The sequence below is a fragment of the Homo sapiens genome, chromosome 17, assembly GCF_000001405.40.
Source record: "Homo sapiens chromosome 17, GRCh38.p14 Primary Assembly".
NCBI classification, from domain to species: Eukaryota; Metazoa; Chordata; class Mammalia; order Primates; family Hominidae; genus Homo; species Homo sapiens.
The window spans coordinates 36,770,862-36,792,357 of record NC_000017.11 but is presented as its reverse complement, the minus strand read 5'-3'; the positions used below and the strand labels follow the sequence as shown (position 1 = coordinate 36,792,357).

The 21,496-nt window shown below is 47.7% G+C and overlaps 1 long non-coding RNA gene across 1 annotated transcript in view, besides 1 other annotated feature; it reads right to left on the bottom strand.

The window, feature by feature from the left end:
- Positions 1,104 to 1,605: an enhancer, noted in NCBI's record as "H3K4me1 hESC enhancer chr17:35148027-35148528 (GRCh37/hg19 assembly coordinates)". NCBI's record gives its function as "activates a minimal SCP1, AML or CMV promoter by ChIP-STARR-seq in primed H9 embryonic stem cells {active_cell/tissue: H9 hESC(primed)}" and the evidence as "EXISTENCE:reporter gene assay evidence [ECO:0000049][PMID:30033119]".
- Positions 18,912 to 21,496, bottom strand: part of LOC105371750 (uncharacterized) — a 115,553-nt gene continuing 112,968 nt past the window's right edge. Inside the window, exons 7-8 of the long non-coding RNA XR_007065730.1 lie at positions 20,625 to 20,817; positions 18,912 to 19,083 (exon numbers count right to left, since the gene is read on the bottom strand). This is a non-coding gene — a long non-coding RNA (uncharacterized LOC105371750). The remainder of the gene's footprint in view (positions 19,084 to 20,624; positions 20,818 to 21,496) is intronic.

Here is a 21,496-nt window from a genome sequence, read left to right as displayed (position 1 = left end):
ATCCCAGGGCGTCCCTGGGGGGGCAGTGGCCCATCTTTCTTTGCAGGGAGGCAGGGTTGGCAGGATTTGGCTAATAAGAACCAGCTGTGTTGTTGGTGGGTTTTATTCTGCCCCTCCCCTGCCCTTGCTCTGATAGCTGTGAGAAACTGATGACAACCTGTTTGACCTCTGATCTCCGAACTTGACCCGCTGCTAATACCTCCAGCTGCTGATTGCTGGCCGAGCCCTTTGTCTCAGGTTGTTTGGGAGCCAAGACAGACAAATGATTTCTATTTGTCCTCTGGTGCCGCGGACGGAGCTGATCGATAGGAACCGCGAATGATGTCAAGGATTTGTCACCATGGCTTATGAATGACAAAAACGCTCCTCGACTCCCCCCTCTACCTTTTCCCCCTCCCCAAAGAAACACCTTTTGGGGGAAAAAGAATGAAAGCCTGAGAAGGCATATTGATTTTTTTTTTTTTGCTTTCTTAAATAGCAGCTCGAGCCACAAAAGAGAGAAAGACAACACTTTTCTGTGCTAAAATGCAGCAAAAAGCTTCCCAGAGAACGAGACTGGTGATTAGATCAGCTATTGCATTTAAGTACCACAGCCTGCCTCACAGCACAACTGCTCAATTTCGTCTGCTGAAGGCTGTACCATTTCTCCCCGATTTCTGATCATTCCAGACACAAGGGAGGCTCCCAGCAAGAAGGCACTTTGCTCTCTCTCACTTCTTCATCTGCCTTCAGCTTGGTGACCATCTCTCTCCCTTTTTCTCCTTCAATCTCCTTCTTTTTTCCTGGTTGGGCATGGGTTGGACACCCTGGTATGTGAGCCTGAGCTGGTTTCCAGCCTTTAGCTAGAGCTTATCACAGCCTTTGAATTTGGATGCTTATTTGGAAAAGAAAAGACAGAAGGTGGGGATGTGATCTCAACGGCAGGGGACACACAGCTTGGGAAAGCCCCTCTCAGTCTCCCACACAGGGGTGGGGGCAAGTTTCAGAGGGAGGCTGGGGAGGCAGCCCATTCCTCTGGAAAGGTGGAAAGCCCCAAAGCAGGGAGGGCAGCAGGGCGCCCCCTCCTTCTACTTCAACATCTGATGCCTTCAGTGAGAGCCTCTCTGTGCTGGCACGGGACCACAGGGAGAGTGAGATCTGTCTGCTTGTCCTTGGGGAGCTCACCCTCTAGGACAGATGAGCAAACCATGGCAGGGCAGCCAGATGGATGCATGCTGGGGCAGAGGAGAGCAGGGAGTGGGGAAACCTGAAGTGGCAACAAGGGTTTGCGGGGGGCGGGGGGTTGGGATCACTAGAGGAGGGGACACCTTTGTTGAGCTTGGACAAATAAGCAGCAGTAGAAAGAGGGCCACTGCATTCCAGGCTGTAGAGACCAAGGACCTCATCCAGCCTGTGGTGTGGACTCTAGGCTATGCCTTATTGGAGGCCCCAGAGTGAGCAGCCATTGCATGAACGACTCAGAGACTCCATTTTCTCATCTGTGAAATGGACACGGCAATGGCATCCACCTCATAAGGTTGCCAAGAGTATCACATGGGATAATCCATGCAAAGTGTTGATACTGTCTTGTCATACATGTGGCTGTTCTTGTTTTTATTCTTTTTAGCTGTTAATATTTGAAGACTTGCTTCCAATCTGGAGATTCCTCAGTCAAGCTGACTGAATGAGGGTGGAGGGAGACAGCTACTACTTCCCACACACCCTAAGTAGAACCACGACCTGGGTGTAGCGGGGAAGCCAAATAAATGGGGCTCTGGCAGGACAAGGCCGCTGACCAAGGTCAGAGCATGGCTCTGGAGAAGACCAGAATGACCTCTCTCCTCAAGCACAGGCCCTGGGCATAGACAGCAGAGAATGCCTGCTCCCAGATGAGGCTTAGACAGAGTAACTACAAGGGCACAAGGCTATGTAGGACTCAGTACTGACTGCTTGGACTATTGCAGTAGCCACCTACCTGGCCTTGGGTCTCTCCCATCCACTGTCTACACCACCATCAGGTTGACCATCCCACCTCACATCAGATCATGACACTTCTCTGTTTGGATCCCTCCAGTGGCTCCTCATTCTCTCTAGGATAAAGCAAAAACGTCTTATACCAGCATTCAAGGCCACCCTGTAGTCACCTGTTTTGCATCATGCTAACCACACAAATCATACATCCTGTGTGGCTCTACTACCTGGCCTTTGCTCAAGCTAGTTCCTCTACCTGAAATGCCTCCTTCGCCTCCATTTTAGTAGGAATTCTCCTTTCTTTCTCCATTTCTTCCCACAGCACACTGTTCTTCCGTTCTAGTACTTACAGCCCTTGATCAGAACGATTCTGTTCACTTCTGTCTCCTGCCTAGATTGAGGGCTCTGAAGGCCAGGAGCCATGCTGTGCAGAGGCCATCACACCAGATAACTGTGTACTGAATGGAATATTTGGAAAGTGCTTGAATCTTAGAGAAAACTTAGGAAGTGGTGAGGGGTGGTGGCATGGGAGCAGGAGGTGCTGCGCTTTAACAAAAGACAATGGTAGGCAAAGTATTTACTTTTCAGATCGATCAAAATGTGAGGTGATTAAAGTCAGGGTGTTTGCCATCTGTGACTCACAAATAGCTGCTCAATTAAAATGTTTGCCAGGTCCAGTGGCTCATGCCACTCAACACTTTTTTGGGAGGTTGAGATGGGAGGATTGTTTGAGCCCAGGAATTCAAGACCAGCCTGGACAACATAGTGAGACTCCATCTCAACAAAAAATTTAAAAATTAGCCAGCCTTGGTAGTGCATGCCTGTGGTCCCAGCTACTCAGGAGGCTGAGGTGCAAGGATGGCTTGAGCCTGAGAGGTCAAGGCTGCTGTGAGCTGAGATTGTGCTGCTGCACTCCAGCCTGAGTGACAGGGCAAGACTCTGTCTCAAAAAAAATTTTTTGTAACACTGAAAATATAACATACTTATAATGGAAAATTCAAGCAATATGGAAAAGTAGGTCAGGTTCAGTGGCTCATGCCTGTAATCTAGCACTTTGAGAGGCCGAGGCCAGAGGATCACTTGAGGTCAAGAGTTCAAGACCAGCCTGGACAACATAGTGAGACCCTGGTCTCTAGAAAAAATAAAATAAAAATTAGCTGGGTGTGATGGCATGCACCTGTAGTCCTAGCTACTTGGGAGGCTGAGGTTGGAGGATCACCTGAGCCCTGAGTTTGAGGCTACAGTGAGCTATAATTGGTTATGCCACTGTACTCAAGCCTGGTCAACAGAGTAAGACTGTCTGAAAGAAAGAAAGAAAGAAAGAAAGAAAGAAAGAAAGAGAGAGAAAGAGAGACAGAAAGAGAGAAAGAAAAAAGAAAGAAAGAAAAAGAAAGAATTAAAAAAAGTTTTAAATGAAAAAGTATAAAAAGGTAGTAAAATCCTCTTAAAATCCTCTTGTATTGATTAGAACTATTTCTTCTACCCGTGGTAGAAAACAGCTCAAACTAGCTGAAGTGTAAGGGGATTATTGGCTCTTGGGACAAAGAAGCATGGTCAGGCTCAAATGATGCCCTCTGGATCTGCTCTCTCTCTCACACTGTCTCGCTCTCACTCTCTGGCATCCCTTGGCTCTCCTCCATGCTGGTTTTATAGGCAGGCTTCCCCTTCGTGATTCCAGGGCAGCTACAGCTGTTCCAAATCTCACATCTCGAAGCTTTGGGTCCAGCAGGGAAAAAAAACTGTCTATGACAGATTGTCTTTTCTGTAGAAGGCCACATGCTATCTCCATCTTACATGCTCTTCTGCAATGTGACCTTGTAACTTCCCCATCAAGAGGTGGGGTCTAATTCCCCTCCTCTTGCATCTGAGCTGGCTTTAGTGACTCATTTGCAACCAAGAGAATGTGGCAAAGTGGTGCTGACATGGTTTCTGAGGCTAAGTCAGAAGCCTTGCCCCTTTTGCTTTGGCCTCTTAAAATACCCTCCAGAGTCTTCCCTCTTAAAGACGCCACCCCTGGGAACCGGATGACAAGCTGTCAGAAGTCCAAGCTACATTCAGCCCGCGTGTAGGTGCTCCAGTTGACAGCTCCAGCTAAGCCCAGCCTTCCAGTGACTCCAGGTCTGAAGAGCTCTCCAGCTGATTCCTGGTCAAGTCATCTGTAGCTGGAAGTTGTAACTTCCCAGCTGAGGCCCTGGATATCATGGGGCAGAGATAAGGCATTCCAGTTGTGCCTTCTCCAAATTCCTGACAACAGAATTGGTTATAAAATGGTTATTGTTTTACACCATGTACGTTTTAGAGAGCTTTGCTATGCAACAGTCTTTCTCAGGATCTCTAGAATAATCCATGCTGATGTCCCCTGGTCCATCCCCTTGAGCGTATCCAAGGGCACAGTCAGTCATCCCAATCCCAGGGCAAGTCGGCTCCATCAGAATGAGAACTGGGACCACGGGGCACACCCAGATGGTCACTGGGCACTGGTTACCTATAGAAGGCACAAACCACAGAATCCACTTCCTACCACCTAGAAATTTTGGAGACTACTCTTCCAGACTCCTTCCTGGGAGTACCCACTTAGGTATACAATTCAACACAAATGAAGCATACTCTACATGATCTTTTATAACCTTTTTAAAATTTAATGGATTATGGGGCTCTGTTGATGTCAACGGATACATACGTCTTTTTTGTTTGTTTTTTTGAGACAGGGTCTTGCTCTATTGCCCAGGCTGGAGTGCAGTGGTGCAATCATAGCTCACTGCAGCCTCAAACTCCTGGGCTCAAACGATCCTCCCACCTTAGCCTCCTGAGGAGCTGGGACTCCAGGCATGTACCACTACACCTGGCTAATTTTTCTATTTTTATTTTTTGCAGATACAGGGTCTCACCATATTGCCCAAGCTGGTCTTGAACTCCTGGCCTCAAATGATCCTCCTGCTTCAGCTTCCCAAAGCTCTGGGATTACAGGTGTGAGCCACTATGGCCCAGGCATCATTTTTAATGGCTGCATATGATTTCATTATATGAGTGAAGCATAATTGATTCAACCAGTTCTCTATTTATGGGTTATTAAGTCATTTCCATTTTTTTGCTATTATAAATAGTACTGAGATAAACATCATTGCACATATACCCTTGGGCACATCTTTCAGTGTTTCCCTAGGATAAATTCCAAGAAGTTGAATTGTAGATTCTAAGGTTATACACATTTTCCAGGCTTGCCAAGGGTTTCCACATTGCCTTCCAGAAATGTCCTTCTTTCCTTCCTTTGCTTTCCCTTCGTTCTTTTCCTTCCTTCCTTTCTTCCTTCCTTCCATCCTTCCTTTCTTCTTTCTTTCTCTTTCCTTTCTTTCTTCTTTCTTCTTTCTTGCTCTTTCTTCTATTTTTCTTTCCTTTCTTCTTTTTTTCTTTCCTTCTTTTCTTTCTTCCCTCCCTTCCTTCCTTCCTTCTTCCCTCCCTCCCTTCCTTCCTTCCTTCTTTCCTTCCTTCCTTCCTTCTTTCGTTCCTTCCTCCCCTCCTCTCTCTTTTCTTTCTTTTTGAGACAGGGTCTCACTCTGTTGCTCAGGCTGGAATACAGTGGTGTAATCATGGCTCACTGAAGCCTCAGCCTCCTGGGCTAAAGTGATCCTCCCACAACAGCCTCCTGAGTAGCTGGAATTACAGGCATGTACTACCATGCCTGGTTAACTTTTAAATGTTTTGTAGAGATGGGGTCTCACTGTGTTGCCCAGGCTGGTCTCAAACTCCTGGGCTCAAATGATCCTCCCACCTCTGCCTCCTAAAGTATTGGGATTACAGGTGTGATTCACTGTGCCCGGCCCAGAAGTGTACTTCTTTTTTTTTTTTTTTTTTTTTTTTTTTTTTTGAGACGGAGTCTCGCTCTGTCGCCCAGGCTGGAGTGCAGTGGCGGGATCTCGGCTCACTGCAAGCTCCGCCTCCCGGGTTCACGCCATTCTCCTGCCTCAGCCTCCCAAGTAGCTGGGACTACAGGCACCCGCCACTACGCCCGGCTAATTTTTTGTATTTTTAGTAGAGACGGGGTTTCACCGTTTTAGCCGGGATGGTCTCGATCTCCTGACCTCGTGATCCGCCCGCCTCGGCCTCCCAAAGTGCTGGGATTACAGGCGTGAGCCACCGCGCCCGGCCAAGTGTACTTCTTTACACTGCTGTTGCCCCACCATCAAAGCACAAGACTGGCCATTTCTCCTCATCCTCAGTAACATGAAATATTTGCCAATGGGAAAAGTGAACAAATGATTCCTCATTGCTGCTTTAATTTGAATTTATTTGATTACTAGTGAGGTCAAGTACCTTCTCATATCCATTTCTTCTTGTGTAATATTGCCTGTTCATGTCCTTTGACCAATTTTGTTGCTGCAGTGTTCATATATTTTATTGTTGATTCATAAAAACTTTTTGTATATTAGAATGTTAACTTTTGTTGCTCATATGTCTTAGAAACATTTTTTGTCCTATAAGTTTGTATGGGGGAGGCACTCTTTTTTTTTTTTTTTTCTTTTTTGAGATGACATTTTTCTCTGTTGCCCAGGCTAGAGTGCAGTGGCGTGATCTTGGCTCACTGCAACCTCCACCTCCCAGGTTCAAGCGATTCTCCTGCCTCAGCCTCCTGAGTAGCTGGGACTATAGGCATGCACCACCACACCCAGCTAATTTTTGCATTTTTAGTAGAGACAGTGTTTCACCATGTTGCCCAGGCTGGTCTTGAACTCCTGACCTCATGATCCACCCGCCTTGGCCTCCCAAAGTGCTGGGATTACAGGCGTGAGCTACCACGCCCAGCCCGGCACTCTTAAACTAATAAGCAAAGCCCTCAAACAAGACAGAATCTAAGCCTTCAAAAGCAGTTGGCACCTGGCAAGAGACTTAACTTAAACCATTCTTGTCAAAGGGCATCAGCTGTCTAGAGAAGAATCCAGGGTGGGGGAACTGGAAAGGCCAACAGAATTGACCATTCTGAGAAGAGGCTCCAATATGTACACCAGAAGGAGGCAGATGCCCAGGAAGCTGAATGCCAAAGTAGCAGACAAAAGTCAGAACTGGGGAGGAGTGAGGCAGAGGAAACCAGGAGGCCAGGGACTCTGCCATTGTCCAAGACAGCCCCAGGCTCCATCCCGGTGCAAGGCAGCTCTCTCTGGTTGGCTCCTGCTCTAGGGGCCCTGTGGGAGCAGGGGTACCCTTGGGAGCAGTGCTAGGGGTAGGAGGCCCTTAGGGTCCCCCAAGCTTGGAGAGGCATTGCTAAGCAGTCAGAGGGATATAAAGGTGATTTAGCCCTGGGATCATGGAGGGAGTCAGGCCATTGCCAAGGAAACAACGGAACTGAGTATTCAATCTGAAGGGCAAGGCAAGGAGCCTGTAGCTGACATTCTGCCCAAACCCTCCTTGCTGCTGGGCATGTTAGCTGTAATGGCTCTCAGCTGCCCCCATCTCTGGAGAATTGCACTGGCTGAATGGAAGCTGCCTACCCTGAAAGGTTACACATTCCTGGGAAGCCCATAACCAATGACTGATTGACATGAGGGGAGGAGAGTGCAAAAGGCTGGCCCCCTTGCCTCAAGGAGGGACCAACTCTCTGGCACAGCTGATGCTCCAGAGTGCCCTGTGATATCAGGCTGAATCTGGCTGAGGCTGCATCCTCGCTCCTCTCTGCCCTTGCCTAATTCTGCTTCTTTCATACCCTTTCTCCTGGGACCACACCCCTGATTAATCACATGTGCCCTAATCCTTGTCTCAGACTCTGTTTCTAGGGACCCTGTCCTATGATGGAGCCCAAGCTGCAAGTTCAGGAGCAGGATGGGATGAGATGAAAGGAGAGGGGCAGAGAGGGTGAGTCGGAGCCAGAGCTGGGCTATTTAAATGGGGACTGGGGCTCTCCTTGTTGGGGTGGGAGGGATATTGTTGTTGATCGCCCAGCACTCACTGCCCCCTCTACTAAAAACTGAAGCCCAAATTCCGTTTGGGAAACTACTCCTTCTCCATTCCCTAGGTGATCTGGTGGGATTATACCACCCAGAGCCCCAGGGATGGGTTCTGGGTTTATTCAATCTTCATGTCCTCCAAGTTTATTCAATCTTCATGACCTCCAGTCATAGTGAGAGCTCCAGAGCATATAAACCAATCACAGCCAGTGAAATGCTGGGGCTTCTGGGAAGGGAAATTCCCTCTTTTCCACTGGAGTAGGCGAGTATGTATCTTAGTGTGGCACAGCTATTTCTGCCAGCCACAGAGCTGAAGAATAGAGATAAACACAAGCAACTGAGCTGAGAGATGGATTCTGGTGATGTCATTTGGGCCCTGTATCAAACTTTACCCGAAGCCAGACCTACCCCTGAACTATTCCATTATGAGAATCAATAAACCCTCCCCGCTTTCTGAAGCTGAGGAAGGTTTTCTGTCACTTGCAACCAAGAGTCCTAACAGACATGTATGGTTTGCATTGAATGGTTCATGCAGGGATCTAAAGGAACCCAGCAAGCCCATGCAAGTTAAAGCCAGGAGAGTGACCCCTAATCTGTCTTTCTTCATTCCTATTCCAGGCAGGCTGCTCCCTCCCCAGGGCCATGTTGATTAGGAAAAATTGGCCGGAGTGAGGCCAGGTCAGGACAAGCCCAGCACTGTTGTCATCATGCAGCTTCCGTGGCCAATTCCTTCCACAGTGGCCTTCAGATTCTTTCTGCAGAACTGCCTCCCCCAGGCAGTTCATTGCTTCTTCTCCCCTCTCTGGAATGGAGCAAAGGGAGTCTATTCTAAGTGAGGAAGAACAAGGCTGTTTCCAATGCCACATCAATTAGGTGGTGAGGGAGCTTTCTTTGTTGAGTGTTTCCGCTTCAGACTAGGAGGCAGGGAGGTAAGTGGGTATGGGAGAAAGACCATGTGCCTTGGAGCTGGATAAACTTGGGCTCTGGTCCTGGCACTTCTAGCTGTGTGGCCTGTTTGATGTCTCTGTGCTTCAGGTTATCCATCTGTAAAGCATGGAGAAGCATGTCACCCTTACAGGAGCTCCAGAGCACAGAGCTGATGAAGCAGCTGACTAGGTCCGGACCAGGCCTCCCTGAGGTGTATCATCAGGGGTCGGGAGAGGGGATGCTAATCCCTGGACCCGAGAGAGGCAAGGATAAGTTCAGTTCCTGGGATTCACAGTGGGAATGCCTGGAATTTGGCCAAGAGATAAGAAAAATTGGGGCCCAGTGCACCCTCTCCCCAAGCCAGTGCAGGGTCCGGGGCTCATGGCACCTGCAGCGGGAGTTAAATGGCACCCTCTGGGGATGGGAAAGTGGTCTAGGCAGGCTAGGCACTACTCTTTACCCTCCTTCTTGACCAAACCAGTCTCCCAGTCACCTCTGATCCCAGCAGCTATAGTATCAAGTCAGAAGGAACAAGGCCCCAGGGCTGGAGGCAGGGCAAAGTCCTCCCTCCACCCCACACCTAGAGGGAGAGACTAAAGTGACCAGGACCTCAGCTGGAAGAAGGGGCCCAGTACAGCCTCCCCGAGTAGTTTCTGCTGTCCTGGGTGGAGTAGGTGGACATTTTCAAGCAGATCTCCTGAAAAACATAAGAGAAGGCCCTCAAAGGACAGTCCCAAGGGAGAGGGGGAGGATGTGGAGGAAGCAGGAAACTAGTGTTTACTGAGCATCTAGTAAGCACCAGGCCTGGAGCTTTAAGTCCGCAATCTTAACTAATGCTCATGGCAAGCTGGGGAATAGAGATTATTCCCCTTTTGCATGTGGGGAAACTGAGTCCCTTTGCCCTGAAGTATCTTGCCTGAGACCAGCTGAGGGGTGCCAAGGCCAGGATCCCAGAATCGGTGGGTTAGGCTCCCCGGAGCTCCTGCTTTCCCAAGTGGCACAGCGGCACCTCCATGGTGGACCCTGGAGGAAGCACACTGCCCTTCCTGGAGGAACCCCCTGCAGCCTTCTGAAAGCCAAGGCCTGATGTGACACCTGGAATTGGCCTGGAGCCAACCGGACTGAACCCAAGAGACAGCCCTGGCTCAGCTGCTGCAGGAGAGGAAGAGGAGAGGATCCATGGGAAGTCGGGAAAGGCCCCCAACACCGGTAATCCCCCCTCAACTTCAGCACCAGCGCCCCTACTCCCTGGAGAGCTGGGCCTTGTGAGGGACTGGGTAGGGGAGCTGGCCTGTGAGGAGATGGAGGTGTGCCTCCTTCTAGGGACCACTTCCTAGGGATCTCCCTCTGAATTCCTGAGTCGGTCAGGTTGAATGGAAAGAGAGCACAGAGATGGAGTCACACAGATCTGGGTTGACCCTCAGTCCCACCATTTCCCATCTGTGTCCAAAGGCCCACCACGCAAACCTCCCTGGGCCTCAGATTCTTCAGATGAAAAATGGGAATGATGCCTACCTCCTGGCATCCTTGTGAGGACTGAATAAGGAGAAGCACATGGAGATGCTGAGCGCCCTGCCTGGAACAGAGCGGGTGCTCAATAAATGTTAGTTCTTCATGGAGCCAGGCATGGTGGCTCACTTCTGTAAACTCAGTGCTTTGGGAGGCAAAGACAGGTGGATGGCTTGACGCCAGGAGTTTGTGAACAGCCTGGGCAACATAGCAAGACCTCTGTCTCTACAAAAAAAAAAAAAAATGTTTTAACTAGCCGGCTATGGTGGCACATGCCTGTAGTCCCAGCTGCTCGGGAGGCTGAGACAGGAGGATTGCTTGAGCCCAGGAATTAGAGGCTGCAGTGAGCTGTGATTGCACCACTGTACTTCAGCCTGGGTGACAGGTGAGACCTGGTTTCAAAAAAATAAAATAAGAAATAAATGTTAGTTCTCACTCTCCATTTGAAATTCTCATGACAATGAAATCTCATCTAGCCCATTTATGTAACTAAATTATAAATAATATCTAACATTTATTGAATACATACTATGTGCCAGACTTTGCGCTGAATGTTTTAATCTGTTACCTCATTTAATCCTCAAAGAGTCCCATGAAGCAAATGATTATCCCTATTTGACAGATGAGGAAACTGAGGCACAGATGTTAAAGCAACTTGCCCAAAGTCACACGGCTAATGAGTGGTGGAGTCAGGATTTGAATTCAGCTCAGCTTGGCTCTGGATCCTGGACTGAGAGCATGCCCCCTCCTGCCTTCCCTCTTCCCAGCCCCTTCCCATGCCCACTGTATGCTCCTAAGCCCCTTCCATGAGTAAGTGCCATGCAGGGGGGCAGGGGGAACTAAATGAGATACTCAAGGAGCTCCTGGTCTAGGGCAGGAGATAAAAGGCACAGAAACACAAGGTAAGAAGGGGGCAAATGTCACAAGAGGAAAACTGAGTTGCAAGTTGAGACGAAGGAGGGATCAGTGTCAGAGACCAACAGGGTGTGAGGTAGGCATCCCAGGCAAGGGCAATCTTCTCCCCCGACCCCTGAGATGGAGTTTCATTTTCACTCTTGTTGCCCAGGCTGCAGTGCAATGGCACGATCTCGGCTCACTGAAATCTCTGTCTCCCGGGTTCAAGTGATTCTCCTGCCTCAGCCTCCTGAGTAGCTGGGATTACAAGTGCATGCCACCACGCCTAGCTAATTATCATATTATTAGTAGAGACAGGGTTTTGCCATGTTGGCCAGGCTGGTCTCAAACTCCTGACCTCAGGTGATCTGCCCACCTTGGCCTCCCAAAGCGCTGGGATTACAGGTGTGAGCCACCATGCCCAGCGGCAATATTTCATTTTTTAAAATAGAGACAAGGCCTTGCTCTGTTTCTCAGGCTGGTCTCGAACTCCTGGCCTCATGTGATCCTCCCACCTCAGCCTTCAAAATGCTGGGATTACAGGCACAAGTCACTGTACCTGACCATCCCAGGCAAAGGCAACAGCAAGAACAATGGAGTCGAGGTGGGAAACGTCTTTGAGGTATGGGGGCTTGAAGGGGAGTTTTGTGGTCAGATTTAGGAGGGTAGGTTGGGGACAAATAGTGAGCGCCTGCTTGGGAGTTTAGGCTGTGTACCAGCGGGGAGAGGATTGAAGGCTTCTCTGAAGATAAGTGACACCAACACATTTGTGCCATATAAACACAGCTCTGCCAGCAGTGTGAAGCTGGCATGGGACTGGATGAAGTTAGGTACAGAGGCAGTTTGCGAGGCAGTTGTAATGGTCTGGTTGAGCACTGATAGGGGTCTGCACTAAGGTGGAGACCATGGATGAGATACTCCATATCTCTCTCCCTGGGGGAGCTGTGGCTAAGAAAGGTCATCTTTATCTGGACAGCAGCTGGTGCCTCCTAGCTCAGCCTAGTCCCACTGGTCAGCTCAGTCTTGGCCACCTGTTCCCACCACCCAGTGATGTGGGTGGCAAGGATCATTAACCCAAGCCATGGACTCACCCTCCCTCCCAACACATCTGGCCAGATAGATGTCCCTCCTCTACTTCCACCCCCCACTCAAGGGTAGGAAGAAATGGCTTTCAGACCAGCTGAGCATTTCCCTCCCTGCAGAAAGGCCAGAGAAACACAGCTGCCACTGTCATTATATTAATACTGCCCACTAGAACCACATACATGTACCTCAGCCATGTGGCGTCACAGAAGCAGCGCTGGACTAGGAGTTAGGAGGTCTAGGTATGGATCTCAACATGGCTGCCCATGAGCTCTGTGACCCTCAGCAACCTATTTATGCTTTCTGAGCCTCAGTTTTCCCATCTGTGACATGGGGATAAAGTGCCTGCCTTCCAGGATTGCTTTGTGGACTGAAAGAGTGTACATGAACATCTTCTGTAAACCTTTGGAGTGCCATTTAAATGTTGAATTTTGTGTACATTCATTCATCCCACCAATCTCTGTTGGGCTCTGACTCTTTATAGGTGCCAGAGTGTGAAAACACCTGCCACATTCATGGTCCATTCCAACCTTTTGCCTTCCTGTGATGATGAAGAACTTTGCTTGAAACACAAGCTATCTTCACATCCTGTGTATGACAAATGGGAAAATGGCTTAAATTAAAGGAGGAAAGATTTGATCAGGACTAACTTCCCAATGCAGGAGCCTAGTTGGTTCCTGGAAATCTTCCCAGAAGAAGAGAATCAATTAAGTATTTTGCCCAGAGTAGACACCAAATCAATTGTTGAGTGGAATTGACTCTGTCATATCATTTGCCAGGAGACAAGAGAGTTGATCCAATGACTTAGGACCCACTTTTCCGTCTGACTTTCCATACACCATATATACATGCTTGCATGTTTGGTGCAGGGGAAAGAGGCTTAGGCTGACACTTAGCAGACCTGCCTCAAACCAGCTGTGTGACCTTGGAAAGATCTCATGCCCTCTTTGAGTCTCTATTGTCTCTCCCGAATGCCAACCAGAATAAGAAATACATCGAACCTTCTAGGATAGTGATAGTGTCTGCCCTTGACATTCCACCACAAGTGTTTGCTAAATGAATGAATGAATGATGAGTGAATGAATGAATGAATGAATGGCACTCAGGAAGGTACATGATTCATGAAAGCTCCTCTTTCTTCTCTGAGCCTGAGTGTGCCCACCTGGCAGATGTGGGAATTTGGTTGCCTGTTTCCAGGTTCCTTGTCAGTTCAGGCTTCTGTGATCTGCCCCTGTGCTGGAGGAGGGCAGCTGGGGGATTTGGGATCTGCATCTTCACGCCCAGCAGCTCAGGCTGCCCTCCCGTTTCAGGGCATGGACAGCAGGTATGTGCTTCTGTTCCCACGGGGCCGCCTGGCTTAGCCCGAGGCTCCCTTTGCTGGGAGAGTAGCCTGGGCTGCAGCCCTGCACTGACCTGCTCTTAACCTCCAGGAAAGTTACACAAATTCCTCCACGCTCCACTGAGAGCTGGGTTGCACAAGGTGGGGGCAGGAACAATGCTTCCCCTTGTGCCCTCCGCCTATTCCACTTCAGCACACATGGAGGAGGAACACAGGAGGCAAGCTGGTGGGGGCACCCAGCTCCGGTTTCAACCATGCCTGGAAATTGGATATTCCTCCCTGGCCGGAGCTCTCTGGGCCATGAAGTGGGGCTGGAGCTCAGGTCTCAGGAGAAACCCACTCTTTCCTCCCTGTGGTTTTCCCTCTAAGACCAGTCCTGTGCCTCAGTCTGTGCAGATCTGTGCAACTCCTTAGCACTACATACCCCTTTGGTAAACACACCCCAGTTCTGAGATGTACTGCATGAAGATGGTAGGAAGGAAAGGGTCTACCCTGGGAACCAGGAAGCCTATGTCTGGTTCTGCTGTGGCCCAGTAAGATACCAAGAATTGGACTAGCCAGGGGCTGAAAATACAGGATGTGGAGCCAGGCTGCCTTGGACCAGGTATCTACTACTTTGACACGCCATTTCCTCATCTACTATGATGGCACCTATCTACCTATCTACCTGGGTTTGTTATGGGGAATAAATGAGTTCTTAAGCACAACATGCTTGCTTAGAGCAGAGTTCAACAAATGCCAGCTGTATGGTTTGCTCTCCACACAGGTTTAGTGGGAATTAAAGGCATGTGCAGTCTTTCCTCAACTTTCAAGGGAAAAGCAAATTGTTCAAATTGTCTAAAACACAATAGAACTACTTAAAGTACACGAAACTAGCTGTCAAAATTGTGAACCATAATCACAGTTTTGATTGCTTTCTGACAGTGTAAAAATTACAAATATTTCATCAGGCAAGAAAAGAAAAACAAAGAATAAATACAGTCAACCCCATCCCCCCTCCCATTTGTGTTCTACGTGCCCATCTGAATTAGTTTGCTCATGTTGACACATGCACAGCTTTGTATCATTTGAGACACACGTTTCTTATTCTTCCTCAGTCATTTAGTATTTAGGCTATAGTTGTAGAGTGGTTGGTTTCTTTCCAGGCAACCACCATTGTTTGAAAACTATGTCAAAACAAAAGTCTCTCTTCTTCTCCCTGACAACTTGTCACAGCTATGCCTCTGGACAGCTTCTGCCCCTGTGCCCCTCTCTGTCAGTGACCTCTCTTCTGCCCCACGACCCCCTCTCCTCTTCCTTGATTCAGAATTCCTGGAAGAGAACAAACAGGAATCATCAAGGTCCCAGAGAGAGAAAAATAATGACTTGTAGTGTGAGAAGTTTCAGGACCATGGACAACAGCACACACGCCCTCACCTTCTTGTTTCCCCAACCCCCAAACATTTTGTTTATGTTATGACAATACCTCTCTGAGACTTGTTTTCCTCTTCTATAAAAAGGGCAGGGTGAGGGCCAGGCACGACGGCTCACGGTTGCAATCCCAGCACTTTGGGAGGCCAAGGTGGGTGGATCACTTGAGGTCAGGAGTTCGAGACCAGCCTGGCCAACATGGTGAAACCCCATCTCTACTAAAAAAAAATACAAAAAAAGGGGGGATGGGGGAGGTAACTGGGAGGGTTGGAGGTGGACAAGGTCATCGCTAAGACTTCCTACAGCTCTGTGACCCTAGGGATCTTTCTTTGGCTTTATGCTTGCCTTCCCTTACCTTTCTCCCTTTCTCCCTCCCTTCCTCTCTTCCTTCTTTCCTTCCTTTTCCTTTTTTTAAAATAGGGACCTTCCATGCATTTTAATGGGCTGATAGCCATCACCCAGGGAGAATGGTGAAAGACAGAGCTTCTTGTGAGAGGAACGGCAAGCTAGCCCTCAGAAACCCTCAAAACTCGACATTGAGGAGTCACTTGATTTTCCCCTCTGCCCCTACCCACATAGAGACATTGTGTTCGTTATGGCAAAAGGCTGAGCTGCTGTAAGAAAGCGTCCACTGGCTGAAAGAACAGAAAGGTTTCCTTGTTCTCATGTAACAGGGTGGGTAGGAGGGCTGCTCCACCCCACACAACCAAACAAGAGCCTGGCTCCCTCCATGAGGTTTCCCCTATTACCCCTTGGTGATGCTCTTGTCTACACGGTCACACTGGCCTGCCCACGTCATGTCTTCAGAAAGAATCAAAAGTGCGCATGAGTTGTGTCTTAAAAGCCAGGCCTGGAAGTTGCAACACATCACTTCTGCTCCCATTCCATTGGTGAGGACTTTGTCATGTGGCCACCCTGAGCCATAAAGGGGCCGGAACATTTATTTATTTATGTAATTTTGACTTTTAGGTTCAGGAGTACATGTGCAGGTTTGTTATCCAGGTAAATTGCATGTCACGTGAGTGTGGTGTACAGATTATTTCATCCCCAGGTAATAAACATAGTACCTGATGGAGGGTTTTTCAGTCCTCTCCCTCTTCCCAACCTCCACCCTCCAGCAGGCCCCGGTGTCTGTCGTTCCCTTCTTTGTGTTCATATCTATGCAATGTTTAGCTCCCTCTTACAAGTGAGAACATGCAGTATTTGGTTTTCTGCTCCTGCGTTAGTTCACTTAGGATAATGGCCTCCAGCTCCATCCATGTTGCTGCAAAGGACATGATCTCTTTCTTTTTTATGGCTGAGTAGTATTCCATGGTGTATATGTACCAGGCTGGAGTGCAGTGGTGTGATCTTGGCTCACGGCAACCTCTGCCTCCCGGGCTCAAGCAATTCTCATGCCTCAGCCTCCCGAGTAGCTGGAACTACAGGCATCCGCTGCCACACCCAGCTAATTTTTCTGTATTTTTAGTAGAGACGGGTTTTGTCATGTTGGTCAGGCTGGTCTCGAACTCTTGACCTCAAGTGATCTGCCCGCCTCGGCCTCCAAAGTGCTGGTATTACAGGTGAGCCACTGTGCCTGGTCTATATTTTCTTTATCCAGTCTAATGTTGATGGTCGTTTAGGTTGATTCCATGTCTTTGCTATTGTGAATAGTGTTAGAATAAACATATGTGTGCATGTGTCTTTGTGATAGAATGATTTATTTTCCTTTGGGTGTATACTTCATAATGGGATTGCTGGGTTGAATGGAAATTCTGTTTTAACTTCTTTGAGAAATCGCTAAACTGCTTTCCACAATGGCTGAACTAAATTTACATTCCCACCAGCTGTGTATAACTGTTTCCTTTTCTCCACAACCTTGCCAGCATCTCTTACTTTTTGACTTTTAATAATAGCCATCTGACTGGTGTGAGATGGTATCTCATTGTGGTTTAGATTTGCAATTCTCTAATGACTAGTGATGTTGAGTATTTTTTTGTATGCTTGTTGGCTATGTGTATGTCTTCTTTTGAAAAGTGTCTGTTCCTGTCTGGGGCTGGGAAATCTAGTTCCTAGCTGGGCAGCCTTGTGCTGGGCTATGACTTCAATACTTGGGTTCAGCAAGTCCACCACAAACATTATCCTCCATTTAATGGATGAAGTAGAGATGTGGAAGTGGGAAATTTTACTCAGGGAAAGAGAATTTATTGAGTCAGATACCATGCTAAGTACTTTTCTGTACGCTTAAAACGCCCTAGGGTCTCATCGCCCAGATGCCCAGTCTAATCCAGTTACTTCCCAGCCTTTGCTTGTGCTGTGTCTTCTGCCTGGAATGCCTTTGTCTTCGGATGAATTGGTCCCACACTTTCCTCAAGCTCAAGAACTACCTCCTTGATCATAGAATTTCAGAAGCAGAAACAGCCTCAAAAACATTTAGGTCAGTTGGGTGCAGTGACTCATGCTTGTAATCCCAGCACGTTGGGAGGCAGAGGCAGGAGGAATGCTCAAGGCCAGGCGTTCAAGACCAGCCTGGGCAACATAGCAAGACTCTGTCTCTATAAAACAAACAAAAAACATATTTAGGTCAACGATTCATTTTATAAGTGAAGAAACTGAGGCCTAGAGAGGAAAAAATACTTGCCCAAGGCCACATAGTACGGTATCTATATATTAATAGCTGCATGGCCCATAGCTAGGGCTCGGGACTCCAGGTCTGGTGCTCCTTTCAGCCCTAAGAAACCACTGCCTGCCCCACAGGTCTCTGCTCTGCCTTTGTGCTTTTTGCTCTGTGACTTTGGACACATCTCTCAGCCCCTCTAACCTCCAGATTCTTAAGCTATGAAATGAAGAGCTTGGATCAGATTATCCCTAGGGGTCCATCAGAACATAGACCCAGTTCCTTCCTAGACTTTCAAATCTTGGCCCCTCTCAACAATGCTGAGACATCACCCAGAAAAAATGGTGCAGACCCATGTCCACTTCCTCCTGTGGGCAAGTTCACAGTTGAATCAACAAAAGGCCTCCTTTTTTCTCACCCCTCTGGGAAGCAGGCATGGGGCTGAGCACCTTACATGCTGTATCTCGTTTCATCACAAAGATCTCCCTGGAAAGTGGGTATTATTATCCCCCATTTTTTTAGATGAAGAAACTGAGGCTGTAAAAGGTTAATGACTCTTTGGAACAAACAGATGAGCCTTGACCCTGGGATTCCCCAAAGTGGGGAGGTAGGACAAGTAGGGGAGGATGCAGGGAAACTTGGCTTGATGCAATAAAGAACTTCCTACTAGAACTTCCTCTGGAGAGACAGGCTGTCTTGGAAAGGGGTGATTTCCTGGTCACTGGAGGTGCACACACACTGGGTGAAAGATCAAAGGATTTTAGCAGTGAGGTAGAGGCAAGGGCGAGGGAGTGGACTAGATCAGTGATTCCCAAAGTTTCTTTCAGGTGCTACGTTGACCAGCATTCAATAAGATTGCTTACACGGAAAAAAAGTTACTCCTTAAATTATTTTTCAAGCTTTCTGATTTTGATTAGCAGAAGGTCTTGGTTTGAGGCTGGTACAGCTTGCATACCTCTTCGCCACTTGTTAGTTCTTTTTTAACAATAGACATTAAGCCTCAGGCTTAGAGCTCAGAAGCAGGTGGCAGGACTCAGCCAGGATGGAATAACACTGGGCTTTTTTTTTTGTCAGAGGAGAAGAACTTGAAACATTGGGCACTTTATTTTTAAATTTTTATGGTTACCTTCTTTCATGGCAAAGTATTCTGCTTTCCCCATTACCATTGTGATATGAAGTTTCATTTTAACGTGAATACAGTATATTTTAAGAGAATGAACAGACAAGCCACAGACTGGGAGAAAGTGCTTGCAAAACACTTATCTGATAAAGGGCTTGTTTCCAAAATGTACAATGAACTCTTAAAACTCAACAATAAGAAAACAAACAACCCAATTAAAAAGTGGGCGAAAGATTTGAACAGTTACCTCTTCAGAGAAGATATCCAGATGGCAAATAAGCATATGAAAAGATGCTTGACACCCCATGTCATTAAGGAACTGCAAATTAAAACAACAATGAGATGGCGCACCGCTATTAGAATGTCTAAAACCCCAAATACCAACAACACTAAATGCCGGCAAGGAGGGAGAGCAACAACTCTTGTTCACTGCTGGTGGGAATGTGGAATGGTATGGCCACTTTGGAATACAGTTTGGTAGTTTCTTACAAAGGGAAACATAATCTCACCATATGATCTAGTAATTGCACTCCTAGGTATTTACCCAACTCAGTTGAAACCTTATGTCCTCACAAAAAAAACTGCACACAAATGTTTATAGCAGCTTTATTCTTAATTGCCAAAACTTGGAGCTAGACAAGATGTCCTTCAATAGGTGAATGGATAAACAAACTGTTGTAAGTCCACACAATGGAATATTATTTGGTGTTAAAAAGAAAGGAGCTACCAAGCTATGAGAGGACATGTAGGGTAGGGTAGAGAGGACATGGTAGGGCATGGTAGGCAAACTAAGATGATATTGTTAAGTGAAAGAAGCCAGTCTAAAAGACCACATGCTATATTCCAATTATATGGCATTTTGCAAAAAGCAAAACTATTGAGATAGTAAAAAGATCAGTAGCGGCTAGGGGTTTGGAGAGGTGGGGAGAGGGATGAACAGGGGATTTTTAAGGCAGTGAAACTATTCTGTGTGATATTATAATTGTGGACCATTCATCAAAATGTGTGCCCAACAGAAATGTGGTCATGTGTCCACCAAAATACATGAACAGGACTGTCCACAGTGGCACTGTTTTTAATAGCCTCAAACCAGAAATAATTCAAATGTCTACCAACAGGAGAATGGATAAATACATTGTGGTGTACTCATACCACTGAGTACTAGGCAGCATGAATGAGGAAAAACTATCGCCTTGCCCAACAACATGGGTGAAGCTCACAGATATGATGTTGAATGAGGGAAGCATGACAAAGAAGAGGACCTTCTGGTTGAGTCAATTTATCGGAAGTTCAAACACATAAAACTAATCTATGGTTACTTTTGGGGGGCACTGAGTGGGAGGGGCTATGAGGGAGGCTTCTGGGTGCTGAAAATATTTCGTATTGTGATGGGGCCGACTGCACGGGTGAATACGCAAGTGAAAACTGATGAAACTGTACATTTAAGATACATGCACTTTATTTTAAGTTTAAAAATACAAGGGAACTTGGAAATGGTCAACATTATGAAAGCAGAATGCAAGTGACTAAAGCTTGGAAAATAGTGGGTGAGAAGTTCTTTCGAGGGTTTACTGTCCTGAGAATGGGATCCTCTAACTGCAGCACCACCACCCACTCCCCGCCCTGGGCCTCAAGGCCCTAAGGTCAGGGGGTGACCTGTCCCTTATCTGGTCTGTTGATCAGTGGAGGCACCAGGTTTAGGGGGTCAGACACCAGTTGCCACCTCCTGTCCCCAGGGCCAGCTTTGAGCCCTGAAACATGAGGCCTCAGGATCACAAGGGCAGATTCCTGCCTGAGACTTTACAAACAAACTGGAGGCCTTTGGGGGATGCACATGCTGCTGTCCCTCCCGCTACTCACCCCCACGGCGTGGTGAGTTCTCTTCTGGGCCTCTCCCGGCCTGCTGCCATCTTGCACTCAAGCATCGTCCAACATCTCCCCATGGGCATGGCCCCAGCCTCATTTTCATCCACCTGGTCTTCACTGGCTTTTCTGCAGATTCACTGTGGGACAGGTCACTTCCTTTTTACCTCCCCACACCTCATTTCTATCTCTGCAAAGCATAGCGACAGAGAGGATTCAGGAACCACTCGGCTAGAAGCACAGACCAGCCCTTCCAATGGTGGGTTCCCTTCTGCAACACCCCAGGCAGTTACTCAACCTCTCTCTAAACGCCTCCTGTCACAGGGAGCTCACCTCTGGCTGATGGAAAGTGCTTCCTAGAAATAAGTGCAGCTAGTATGGACCTGTTTTTGCAAAAAAAAATTTAAATGATCTATCATCTACCAATCTAAATATCTAAATATGTATATAAATATATAAACACATATATGCCTACTAGGCATAGATAAGTTCTCTCTGGAAGGCTATACAATAAAAGAAGCAAGATGTACTCTCCACTCTGACCCATTTGCACCTTTTGAATTTTGTACTATGTGAGAACATTACCTAGTAAAAGTAGATAGAAGATGTCTGAAAAAAAGCTCTGGCCAGGCATAGTGGCTCACACCTGTAGTCCCAGCAGTTTGGGAGGCTGAAGCCAGATGATCACTTGAGCCCAGGAATTCAAGGTTACAGTGAGCTGTGATTGTGCCACTGCACTCCAACCTGGGTGACAGATCAAGACCCTGCCAAATAAAAAAGAAAGAGAGAGAAAGAGGAAGGAAAGGGAGGGGAAGGGAGGGGAAGGTTGAAGGGGAAGGGGAAGGGGAAGGGGAAGGGAAGAGAGGCAA